This window comes from Homo sapiens, chromosome 10 (genome assembly GCF_000001405.40).
Source record: "Homo sapiens chromosome 10, GRCh38.p14 Primary Assembly".
NCBI classification, from domain to species: domain Eukaryota; kingdom Metazoa; phylum Chordata; class Mammalia; order Primates; family Hominidae; genus Homo; species Homo sapiens.
In genome coordinates this window covers 88,063,513-88,076,409 of record NC_000010.11, presented here as the reverse complement: position 1 = coordinate 88,076,409, position 12,897 = coordinate 88,063,513, and the positions used below count along the sequence as shown (strand labels likewise).

Genomic DNA, 12,897 nt, shown 5'->3' with positions numbered 1-12,897 from the left:
GAACAGTCCATATTCTGTTTGGGCAATAGTTAACACGTCTAACCACTTCACCAAAAAACCAACAAGAGGAAACCACCAGTGAAAGAGAAAGTCAGCTTATTACAAGTTCTGGCCAGCGCATACCTTGTGTTTGTTCACTGAGTTTGCCAGAAAGTTCCCTTCTGAGAGCCTAATTTACAACTTTCCTTGAGCTGCCAAATCATCACCCAGTAGACTTCTCCTATTACTTCTACTCTGTTACCCATCGATGGCCTTCTTGTGGAGCATTAAACAAAACACTCAGACCAAGTGGGAGTGTGACCCACACCAGGTACAAATAACCTACCTCTCACTCACCAGCCACCCTTGGCAATTGACAACAATAATGTGGGCAGCTAAGTAATTACAGCAGGGAAGTTGGAAGAAGGAATTTATAAGTTTCAATCTAAATGTTTGGCATGCTTTATCACCAGAAACCCTAGCTCCTAAATGTCAGGAACAAACTATAAAAAGAGTGTGGATTAAAGGCTCTGAGTTACATATCAAAGGTCTTCTCATTGTCAAAAAATATTTTCTTTACTGAGCATTCACAGTGCCTCGCCCTGAAATGATTCCTAGATATCTCTCTGAGGGATATACAAAGAGAGGAGGAATAATAAAAACCAAGAAGCCACTAGCATCAGAGCAAGGCTCCAGTGCAAATATCATTGCCAACAACACGAAATATGGTGGCCATCTGCCTGTGGTACATTTAGGGTTGGTCTTTACTTCCTGTATTTTCTAAATTTTCTGCTATAAATACATATGCCTTTTATAATTAGAAAAATATAAATGTTGATTTTAAAAGGTTGTGGAATCAGGATTCAAATGCAAGTCTGTCTGATGGCCAAGCTTATGTTCTTTCTACTCCTCACTGCTTCTCACCCATGTCCATCGATAACATTCATTTTATTTTTAATAAAATAACAAACAATAAATAGAGCTGAATGTTTGCCAGGTACCTTTCTAAGCATTTAAAATGTATTAACTTGTTTCAGCCTCACATCATGTGAAGACTGATTATATTCTTACTCTACTGATGAGAAAACCAAGGCACAGAAAGGTTAGGTAACTTGCTGAAGGTGGCAAAGCTGGTCAGCGGCAACACTGGGATTCTTCCCCAGCCAGTCTGGCTCCAGGGTCTGTGCTCTTAGTTGCTCTGTTAAGCTGCCTCAACCGTCTCCTACTTAAAGATAGATCTTCTCTGGCCCTCATATCCTTTTGCAACCTGGCCAGGCCCCCGTTGCATGCGTTAGTGTAAGAGCAGGACAGGCAAGCCCAAGGAGCCTTTTTAATCAGAGATGACACAGCTGGATTACCAGTATAATCGGCTATAGCCTCAAAGCCTCATGATGAAAAGGTCCAGATGAAATCAACTCTAGTCAGTGTCCATGATGATGAGGAATTAAAAGATGTGAAGGCTCCTGCTGCCTAAAAAAATAACCATGGCATCATTTTTCTCATCTCATCTAGCACAAATTTAAATTACATTCCTTGAAAATATTTTTTGCCTTCTTGATTTGTCCCTGGTTTTCTGTTTTAGTTCAATTTTACCTTCTCAGTCAACTCTTCCCCATCACACACATGCCATGAACATCCCCCCATGAAGGGACTTGTCCCCCTCCCCATCACACACATGCCAGAGGCAGTCCCCCTCCTATGAAAGCACTTGTCCCCCTCCCCCATCAAACATATGTCATGGGCATCCCCCTCCATAGAGAGACTTTTCCCCCTCCCCATCACACATATGCCGTGGACTGTTTCCCAGTTCATGAAGGGACTTTCCTTCCCCCATCACACAGATGCCATGAACAGTCCCCCACTATGAAAGAACCTGTCCTCCCTCCCCCATCACACACACATCGTGGACATCCCTCCCTGTGAAGGAACTTGTCCCCCTCCCTCATCACAAATATGCCATTGACATCCCTTCTTATTGATGGATTTGTTGACACTGAGCCAGAATCTTGACTTCCTTGAACCTCAGGTTTTTATCTGTGAATTCAGGGGTTTTAATTGAGGATCTCCAATAATGATGACATCTGGCATTTATATAGGAATTTGTGGTTTGTAAGCTCCTTCCTGTTCATTATCTCATTTTACCTTTCCAGTGACTCTGGACAGTGAACATTGGTGGAAATTGGTTATCCCCAATTTCCAGGTGAGAACACCAAGGTTCCTCTCTAACAGACAGGAAAATCCAAATCTACTCATTGTAATCCCATATCTTCTTCCTCTTTGCCTCAAAACATCCCTAAGGGCCCCTTCAAGCTCACAGTCTGCGCTTTTGGGCCTGCCTCCCACATCCCTGTCCCCATTTAGGCAGCACTCATTGTAAAGTTTAAGCTACCTGCTGCAGCATCTTGGTCCCCAGAGACATTTGAGAGGCTCACTTGGTACCTGAGGACTGCAGTGATGAAAGTTCTCCCTTTAATTTTCATCCTCATGAATTTGGAACATTAGAGCCAACCATTGAGACCACAAACAGATGTCAAATTTGGCCTGGATTTTCTGGGAGCAGCATCTGGTTGGCCTTTCCCCAGACGACACTTCCCTCGGCAGCTGATTGTCACGGTGGCTACAAGGGGAAGGTGGGGGGCACTGCGGGGAGCTGCAGGACTATCTGGATCCTGGACTGGCTCACCCTCTGGCTTTCATATGTCTCTTTATGTACATCTGGTGTGTTATTTACCTATATCATGTGCCATACATTGTTAACCTTCCTTCCCAAAGTCCCTGCCTAGATAACAAGTGTCATTGGCTAAAGAGGAAAAGAAGAACTGGCATGACTTAAAATACATGAAAGCTGGGTAAATGAACTTGTATAACTTGCACTGAGCTCGGGCCAAAGTTGTGCACCCTAATCAGGATCAAAATACACTCTATTAACCTGAGCGTCCTAATTTACACATGTGGTCTAGGTGTGATTTTAATAGCAACCCCTTTTGCTCTCAAAAGTTTCCAAGTTTGGACAACAAATTATATGGATACCTTCCGTATGATGTGAGATCAAAGAGTACCAATTACGGAATCTCTAAATGGAGAGGCAGGCTAAAGACCTTTATGTGCAGCCTCCTACCCAGTGCTTGGAAACCTCTTGTAAACATCACAACCGAATTTGAGCTCTACTAGAAGCACATTTGGACTCAACCTTATAAAAATTTCAAGTCGCTTCATCTGTGTCTGTTTTGTCTTTGTAGCTCACGGCATTGGAAGACATCATAAACATTAATGGAGAGCGGGATGCCAGAATAAGTTGATCCAAATGATGCAGGAATATTTAGCAGCAAGGAGAAAGGAATTCACATTTCTCAGTACCCACTATGTGCCATACTTTGTGATAAGATGGTTTCCCTCCAATATATCCTCATTGTCAGCAATGTCGGGAAACAGGAATCATTTCCCCTTCTACAGGTGATAAAACTGAAGCAAGAAACATACAGGCTAACATCAGCTGAGCTGAGATTTGAACTCCACTCTTTTTGACCCTGGAGCTGATGAATGCTGCTTCTAGAGGTTGAGTATCCCTTATCCGAAATCCTTGGAACCAGGAGATTTTTGGATTTGGGAATATTTGCATATACATAATGAGATATCTTGGAGATGGGACCCAAGTCTAAATACAAAATTATTTTGTTGTATATACACCTTGTACACATAGACTGAAGATAATTTTATACAATATTTTAAATAATTTTGTGCGTGAAACAAAGTTGTGACTATGTCTTGACTGTAAGACATCTTGCATGCAACCCATCATATGAGGTCAGGTGCAGAATTTTCCATTTGTGGTGTCATGTTAGTGCTCAAAAATTTTCGGATTTTGGAGCACTTCAGACTTTCGTTTTCCAGACGGGGGATGCTCAACCTGTCTTAGAACCTGTGGTCTCCCATCATGCCTCCCTTCCCCATTCCCTTGCTCCACTGGGGTCTGAGGTGGGAAAGCAAAAGGAGTTGCAGGTAACCCTCACTTTTCACACCAGGCAATCTCTCCCCACAATCTGTCACATTCCTGAAGAACAAGGAAGCAGAGCACTCCACTGAAGAAATTCTGTTAAAATCTATCCCCAACGTATAAGCATCCATCTTTGTCCCAGTCTGGGTCTAACATGAACAAAGTGCTTAAACAATTCAGTAGAGGAGAAAGGGAACTTGGAGCAGCTCTGTCACCCTGAAGTGACACTGCCATGCTGCATTTCCTGTCTGTAATATCTCTTCAGAGCAATTGTTTTCTTCTGTGAGGACACTTCAGAGATTCACAGAGACAGATGCTCTTGTGACTGACCATAGCAAGTATCAAAAGGCCTGGGTGGAATTACGAAGCATTTCTCGTGCACTGCGTATTGGGAAGTGCTTCACAGCTGTGTGGCAGATGTGAGTGGACAGAGGGGCAAGGGAACTGCCCCAAAGGAGGTGGCAGAGGAAGCAACAAGCCAGGGATTGGCTGGCCGGTCCCAGCACAGCAACTGCAGCAGCAGCTTGCTAAGTTTCACAGGTGAAGCCAAAGGCTGGGGGGAATGGAAAACAAATATCACTCCATTAAATTAAGGTCTGAGGAAAACATGATGAGGAAAGTCAATAGTGAATCAAAACATTGAAAAGCCACTAACTTTGACTTTCCATGTGCGTGTGCAAGTTCACGTGTGCATGTGTGTCTGCATGTCCAAGTTCTACACTGATTCAAGAAATAATTATAGAGGGCCTGCCATAGGATGGTGAGCAAAACAGTCTTGGCCTCTGTCCTGATGGAGCATGCAGTATCACAGACTCTATATGTTCTATTTCTAGGCCTTGTATTTTGAGGATATATGCCAGTGGAATGAGAATGGCTCTGTGACCTTGTTTAAGTCCCACCACTGTCTCAGGCAGGGTTTTCCAAAGTGTAGTCCTTATACTATTATGTGGTGAAGATGCTTAATTGTTTTGTAATTATTTAATGTGCGTAGGTATCACATCAAACCCAGTATTTTCAAGGATTTTTATAGCTTAAGACAAGGCTTGTTATAGGCAAGGTGGATCAATTCAAAAAATATATGCTAACAAAATAATAGTGGAGGTGGTACAAAGAAACAGCAAAGGTAGTGAGATGGCTTCACTGGTGTTTGTGAATCACCAAGATAATGCACGTGGAAATAAAAATCAGTGTGGTCCATAGAAATACAAGGGGTTCTAATTACCCCTCAGTGAGCACTTGCTCTCTCACTCACCCCAGCAATGACATATTAAGCAAAGCACTGCCCTGACTGCATATGCTCTTGCCGACAACTTGGCCAGCATTCAGAAGACACTAAGTGTGCTCTGGGAACTTCAGAAGGCACTAACATTCCATGGAGAACTTCACAAAGAGTGAGACCTAGTCCCTGGCCTAAAGAGAGTATAATTTAGTAGGAAAGAGAAGACAAACACACAAATAACTGTAAAATGGGATAAGCCCCAAAGTGGAGGTACAAAGTCCCATAGAAGAGGCTCAATGATAAGTCACGCCTGCCGGGTAAGGTCAAGAAAGACTTCATGGAGATTTGAGATGGCATCTGAGATAAGCCAGGAAAGACGGTAGAATTTCAACAACCAAAAAAGTGGGGAGAGGGATGGGAGGCATTCCAGAGAAGGAGAAATGCTTGAGCAATGGTACAGAGACCAGGAAGTTATATGAGGGCAGAAAGTCCCTGCTGTCTATTTAGCTGGGATATAGAATGCAAGTCAGTTAGATGATTAGGTGGGGTTATAACATAACTAGCCTTAAATAGTGGACTGAGAATTTTCCACTTAATTTAATGCAAATGGCAGGGGAGGGGGCAGGCAATGGAGAGCTGAAAACAGGACTGGAGATGCGCTGGAGGGAAGTAACCCTGGAAATGGGTGAAGTACGGGTTACTGTCACCCCAGCTCTGGTTCTTGTTATTCCCTAGGAGAAGCATAATAGAAGTGTGAATTTAGGGTAGCCAAATGATGACTTTGCAGAGGGAATCTTTAGGACTTGTGACTTGATTAAAAGCAGGGAGATGGATAGGGAACGTCCAAGGATAACTAGATAACTAGAGCTCTCCTGTTCCTCTGACTCATGTGTGCTGAAACTGTAGAGTCAAACAAACACTTGTAAGTGGCGTGATGTAAATCCCTTAGGGGCCCATGCCTGCCTCAAGAGAAGAACGTGTGGTCAGGAAAAACGACCGGGGGAAGTGAAAACGACACAAGACCCAGAGGATAACCCTTATTTTATTCACACATGCAAATTTAGGCACAGCAAAAAGCAAAACGAAGTATACCAAATGTCAAGGGTTAATTATTAATCATTTCTATATTAAATTATGAGTTTTTCAGTAAGACACTTTTTGATAAGAAACTTGAATTACGTTCATAACCATCAAAATAAAGAAAATAAAAGAGACAGATTTTCTTTGGTGGTGGGAGAACATTAAGTATTGTGGAAGCCTGAAAAATGGTCCCCAAAAGAATCTGGTCCTAATCCTTAGAACTTGTGAGTATTATCTTACTTGGAAAAAGGGTTGTTTTAAGATAAGGATCTTGAGTTGGGAAGATTGTCCTGAGTTATTCAGGTAGGCTGTAAATGCCATCACAGGCAACCTTTTTACATGGATATTTGACACAGAGTGGAGGAGACACCCATAGGAGAAGGCTATGTGAAGACATAGCATCGAGACACTTGAAGATATTGGCCTTCAAATGGCACAGCCACAAGCAAAGGAATGCCAGCAGCCACCAGGAAAAAGCAAAGAATGGATTCTCACCTAAAGTCTCCAGAGGGACTGTAGAGTATCCTGCCAACACCTTGATTTTGACTCTGTGAAACTGATGTCAGGCTTCTGGCCTCCAGAACTGTGAGAGAAGAAATTTCTGTTGTTTTAAACCTTCGAATTTGTGGTAATGTGTTAGAGCAGCCACAGGAAACTCATATTCTAAACTAGCAACTATGAAATGAGAATTTCTAGTGTTCAGCTAAGATACCACCGCAGAAGCAGCTGGATAATATCAGATGAGCCGAAAACTTCTCTTACCCCATTTCCTTATCCATAAAATTAGCAAATAATACCTGTCTTGCAGAGTTAATTTTAAAGTTATACAAGTAAATACACTTTGAAAGTGACAAGTACTAGAAAAATGTAGGGAATTATCCTACAAGTCTGGGTATCCCCACCACCCAAGGCACATGAATGATGCACAATAAAATATACAATTGGTTAGAAATAGAACAAAGTGTTGAAAGTGCTTCAAAGCTCGAAATGTAGGGCATGAGGAATGAAGGAAATTCAGTTCAGGAATAAAATATTTATTCAGCATCACTAATAAGCCAGGCACTCTGCCAGAACCCAAAGGTATAAAGAGGAACAAATGATAATTCCTGCCCTGTGGATGGCTTATAGTCTAGGGTAGCATTTTTACAGTGTGTTCACAGACCACTAAGCTCTCAAATTTCTATTTAAAGATGCCAAAGGACCCAAGATCAAGTGCTATATTCTAATATCTACCCTCTCCATTTCCTACCCCCTCCCACAACCACACTTTCTGTAGACTCACAATGTGTTAGTTAATTTAAGGCATTGAGTCCTGTTGTTAATAAGCTGACTTGCCCTTAATTATCACAGGCTTTTCCAAATTTCCTTGACATGCACTAACCATTTAACCTTGGGGAAAAGAATGGAATAACATTCTTGCCTGCCTGTTGTAGCTGTCATCATATTTAAATGTAATAAAACATGGAAAGTGTTTAATAATTATGGTGCTCTAGGCAAAATAGCAGTCCTTCAAAAATGCCCATGCCCTAATCTCCAGAACCTGTGAATATGTTACCTGACATTGTAAAGCAACCTTGTAGGTGTGATTAAAGTTACAAGCTCTGAGAAGAGAAAATTACTCTGGATTATCTGGGTGGGCCCAGCTTAATCATATGAACCCTTAAAAGTGGAGAATGTTTTCCAGCTAAGGTCAGAGAAAGAGACTTGACAAAGGAAGAAGGGTCATAGGGATGTGATACCGCTAGCTTTAGAGATGAAGGAAGAGGACCACAGCCAAGAAATGTGGGTAGCCTCTGAACACAATACAAGGCAAGGACACGGGCTCTCTCCTTGAGCCTCTAGAAGGAGCACAGCCATAAGGCATTCTTAAACTATGTCGCTTACCTTACCTACCTCATCCACTTACTACTTGTATGGCTAATGGCATGAGGAAGTCACTAAAACTCTCCGAGCCTTCCTGGCCTCCACTTAAATGGGAGTGGTACCCACAGAGGGTCAGGAGGCTCAATCAAATCTCAAATTCATTATCTCTTGCTTCTCATGCACAAGTCAGTGTCAGCAGGAGGCATCAGTGCTTCTGCAAAAATAACTAATTCAACATTACTTTGTCAGATCACAACCCTTCTTTGCTAAAACCTTCCAGAGGCTCCCTGTCTCACTCACAGAACAACCTCATGGACTTCCTCTGTTCTCAGGATTCTCATGACACAATATGACCCCATTTCCTCTGACTATAGGTCCTTCCTCTCTCCCCCTTCCTGATGGTGCTCCAGCCATACTGGCCACCTTGCTGTTCCTGAGGCACACCAGGCAGCTTCCAGCCTCAGGACATTTGCACTTGCTGTTTTCTCTGCTTAGAGCCCTCTTCCCCCATATCCACATAGCTTGCTCCCTCAACTCCTTTAGATCTTCATTCGGCTATTACCTTCTTCCTGAGGCCTTCCCTAACAACCCTATGAAAATTGCAATACCTGCCAGCCAAACATTCCCCATCCTCCCTTCACTTTAATTTCCGCCATAGTAATTTCATCTTCTCACATGCTGCATATTTAACTGTTTTGTTTACTTTCTTTCCTCCATTGGAATATAAGCTCTATCAGGGCTTTTCATGAAGGACATGCAAGTAGATGCTTGATAAATATTTGTTGGATAAATAAATCAGTGCATATACCAATCTGAAGTCACAAAATCAATATGAGCATCACCTTCCACTAAAGACATATCCTTTCAGTTATCGATGAAAAATGAAGTTGAAAACACAATAATCAGCCTGTCATTGAACAATGCAGCTGCAGCTAAGATCAAGTTCTTGACTGACTTTGCCGAGCCCAACCAATTCAAAGGAAGAATAAAAACATGGTCAAGGGACCCAAGACCCAGCTCTTATCCCCTACTCAGAGAAAACCCAGAGAGAACCAGCCTTCTGATGTCTTGTCCTTCCTGGTTTTGACCAACCTCTAAAAACCATAAGAACAGTTTGTCTCAGTATTTCAGTACTTCCGCTTCCAGGCCCAGGAAAGAGCAGGAAGTGCAGGGGCGTGTGAAAATCAAGAAAAAAGAAGAATTAAACCCGCTACACATGAAGCGCTCAAAGACTTCCTCTGTAACCTGTTGCAGCACACGAGTTTCAATGTGCTTTCACTGAGAGCCCAGGGGGACTGTGCTGTCCCCAGAATTTCGCACCATGCCCCACACTCTCAATGAACACTTGTTGCCTAAAAAAAAAAAATTAAATTTTAAGACCTTCAGTTTCTCTATTTGTATAAAGTGATTATAAAACCTACCTTATGGAGCTGTCTGATGATCACATATGAAATCGCATATGTTAAGTGCTTATGCAGCGTCTGGCACATGATCAGCATTAATTTTATGTGAACTGCCATTTTGATGGCAGTGGTGGCGATCTGATGGTGGAGGAGGTTTAGTTAGCGCTGGGTAGATTGTAACATATACCTATCCTTAATGATTTGTTCAACCTGGAATTTTGGACGGAGCCTGGGCCTGAGGAGTTGAACCTTAGAGTGATCCATTTCTCTTGGAAAAGTCCTGTTCAGTTTGAGCAAGAAACTCTGGAAAGGGGAAGGATGTATTTTAATCCCAGCTACCAGGGTGACAGGCAGCAGAACTGAAACAGCATGACTAAGCACAGACCATCTCCTTTCATTACATGGGGGGCTGAGGTCTTTCCTCTCTACTGCCAGGGACTGGAGAAAGGAAAGATACCCAGTTTAATTGCATCTGATAAACGGATAGTAAAGTCCAAGAGTAGACAATTGGAATATTTCCCCAGCCTTTTTCCTGTTAGGTTCTCAAAGCTAGAAAAAAAATGCTGAATGTCTTTTCCCTAACTTCATATCGCCATATGAAGCCCAGCTAAGTTTCCCTTGAAGTTCACTAGCCCATTTCCTCTGTAGGTCTACAGGGGCCACCTGCCAATGTGCAGGGATTAAATGAAGAAATAAAGACCTAAGGCCTTTCTAGAAGCTAAAAACCCTAGGACTCCCTAAACACTTTGGAGTTGCAGCTCCCATTGGTTAAGAGGTATGGATCGCATAGTTTCAAGCTGAGCCATGCTTTTCGGAATACTCTGCTTTTTCTCATCTTTTTCCACTATAGTAATACTATAAATGAGATCTCTTCCAGAAATAAAGGCAGAAAGCCCCAAGCTCGATGCTAAAGATGTTTGTGACAGAGTTCTGCAAGAATAGGATATTTGCAGTCTCGTCTGCGATAATCATTTCAGAAGTGGCTGCTGATACTGGTAGGTATGCAGTCAGCAATTGTGGTGGAAACGGGGAATGTCTGCTCAAAGAGACAGAATGTGCAATGACTCAAATGATTTCCAGCAATTGTCAATACTATTTGATGTTAGTCATTTATGCTACCTTTTTCTTATTTATAGATTCCTAGCTTTAAATTAACCTCCCTGATATATGGAAGTAATTTGGTCAGTAATAAGTTCCTTTGTTTTGGGTTTTTTGTTGTTTTTTTTTTTTAGGACTATGTGGCAGAGGAGACTCCTGACTTTCACTTCTCTAAATAACCAACAACTCCTCACTGTCCCTGTGTAAAGCTATCATGGCTGTGGGGAAGGAGAGACACTTCAAGGACAGCTCAGAGCAAAGTACCAGTTTAAAATCTTCTCACGAGAAGAGCAGCATCCTTCACTCATTTGTCCTTTCACTGAGGGTGCACTACATGTACTCACTGTGCTAGATATTGGGAATACAGGGCTGAGTGAGACATGGGCAGACTCCCTGAGAGGTAACACTCAGACTACATCTCAAAGGATAACTAGATATCCGCCAATCAAGATGGAGCAGCAGGCCAGGTATACAGGCTCAGCATCACTTTGGGCGTTGCTTTATCTTAAAAAGCTGCCTGAACCACTTAAAGGGACCCACTGCTGCCTTCAAAAGAGTACAGTGATATGCATCTTCCTGAGGTCTTTCTAAGCCACTTCTGGAGCTAGATATATGTTTCTCAGATGTCTCTGAAACAAGGTTTCCAGGCAACTACATCTGAGGCCATTGGTGCTGCAATATGACTGAAAGGAAAGAGGGTGTGTACTTCAACAGCCTTGCTGTAAGCAAGGTGGCTTCATCCCCTCCCCCCACCTGAAATTGAGAAACACAGAAGTGACCACAGTCCTAGGCCACTGTGTGCAAAAATGGGAAATGTCACTCATCAGGTCCTCTCCCACGTTTAACCAGAATCATCAGCCTATAGATTCGGGAACTGAGTGGCTTGACCATTTTGCACGTAAGCCATATGCAATTGGTCCAAAGGAGACCAGTGAGCAACAATTCAATTTAGAGTTCACTGAACTCTCTGGTTTGGGAAGGAAATTGCTAGTAATCAATTGCAGCAAGCATACAGGCTCAGGGCCAGGAAGAGAAAAATCACTTTAATGGGCAAAGCAGATGTTGCTAAATTCATTGCAAAAGTGAGATGGGCACAGAGCCAGGCCTTGCATGAGAGATGCTGATCTGTTCTCCTGAATGAACAAAACAGAGACATTTCAAAAAGGGGGGTTTCTATGAAAGAAGCCAGAGGTCTGTGTCCCTGTTAGAGTAAATAAAAGAAAATGCACCCAGGTGTTCAGGTCCCCCATACCACCACAGGACTTAAAGTTGTTAACATCTTACGAGGATTTTTAAACAAATCCAGAATACTAGCAAAAACTGCCTGGGGAGTCTTCATTCGGTTCTAAGGAGAGTATGTGGTAGAGTAGAGAGAACACGGGCTTTGGCATCAGATCTGTTTCTTCCATGAATTAGTTGCTTCCACCACCAAGAAGTTGTATGACTTGGGCAAAGTTCTTAACACCTCTCAGTCTCAGTTTCCTCCACTGTAAAATGGGCCTAATGTCATTTACCTTATTAGAGCAGTTGTGAGGACTAGTGATAATGTCTGTAAAGTATGGTAGAGAAATGCACTTAAGCAATAACATGTTTTCAGAACCATGAAAAGACTAGTGACACTAGGATGTGGGGAGAATTGGTTAATGACAGGGCAGGGTGGGGTGGGATGGGGAGAATTTCTGGCCCAATATTGACCAGCTTTGGCACGTGCTCTTGGTGAAGGATTACTTCACAGGTCACATGTTTCTTTGCATGCTTAGGCTGATAAAACATCTCTCAAGAATATAAGAGCTCAGCAAGTGTAGGAGCATAGCCCAAGAAAGGTCACTGTGTGTACTTAGAACATTTTCATGGAGTAGCTTCAAATGCAAGCCTCCTAAAAGAGAGTTGATTCTGATTCCCCAAATCTGAAATGTTCTTTACTTACCTAATTCCCACTCATCCTTCAAGGCCCAACCAGAGTCCCTCCTCTGAGAATCATCCCAAATTCCTCTGGAGCTCACCATCTCTACCTACTCACATATTGCCCAGTTTATATCAGCTGCCTTCAATCCTTCCTGGAACAAGACATTAATCCCATTCAGTAAAAACTTTAAATGCTACTTACTCAATTCTTTGGCCTGTCATAGTAAAGTGTCATACACTGATCATCACCTGAATCATGTGGTTCTACCCCAAATACTTAGCAACTTCCTAGAGTTTAGATATTGAACTTGCACTAATTAAAATCTCTAAATCAGAAGGCAGAGAGAGCTGAGGGC

The 12,897-nt window shown here is 42.5% G+C and overlaps 1 long non-coding RNA gene across 1 annotated transcript in view; it reads left to right on the top strand.

Annotated features, from left to right (window-relative positions):
• Positions 1-3,680, top strand: part of LOC105378415 (uncharacterized) — a 31,664-nt gene extending 27,984 nt beyond the window's left edge. Inside the window, exon 6 of the long non-coding RNA XR_007062225.1 lies at positions 3,219-3,680. This is a non-coding gene — a long non-coding RNA (uncharacterized LOC105378415). The remainder of the gene's footprint in view (positions 1-3,218) is intronic.
• Positions 3,681-12,897: the final 9,217 nt, after the last annotated feature.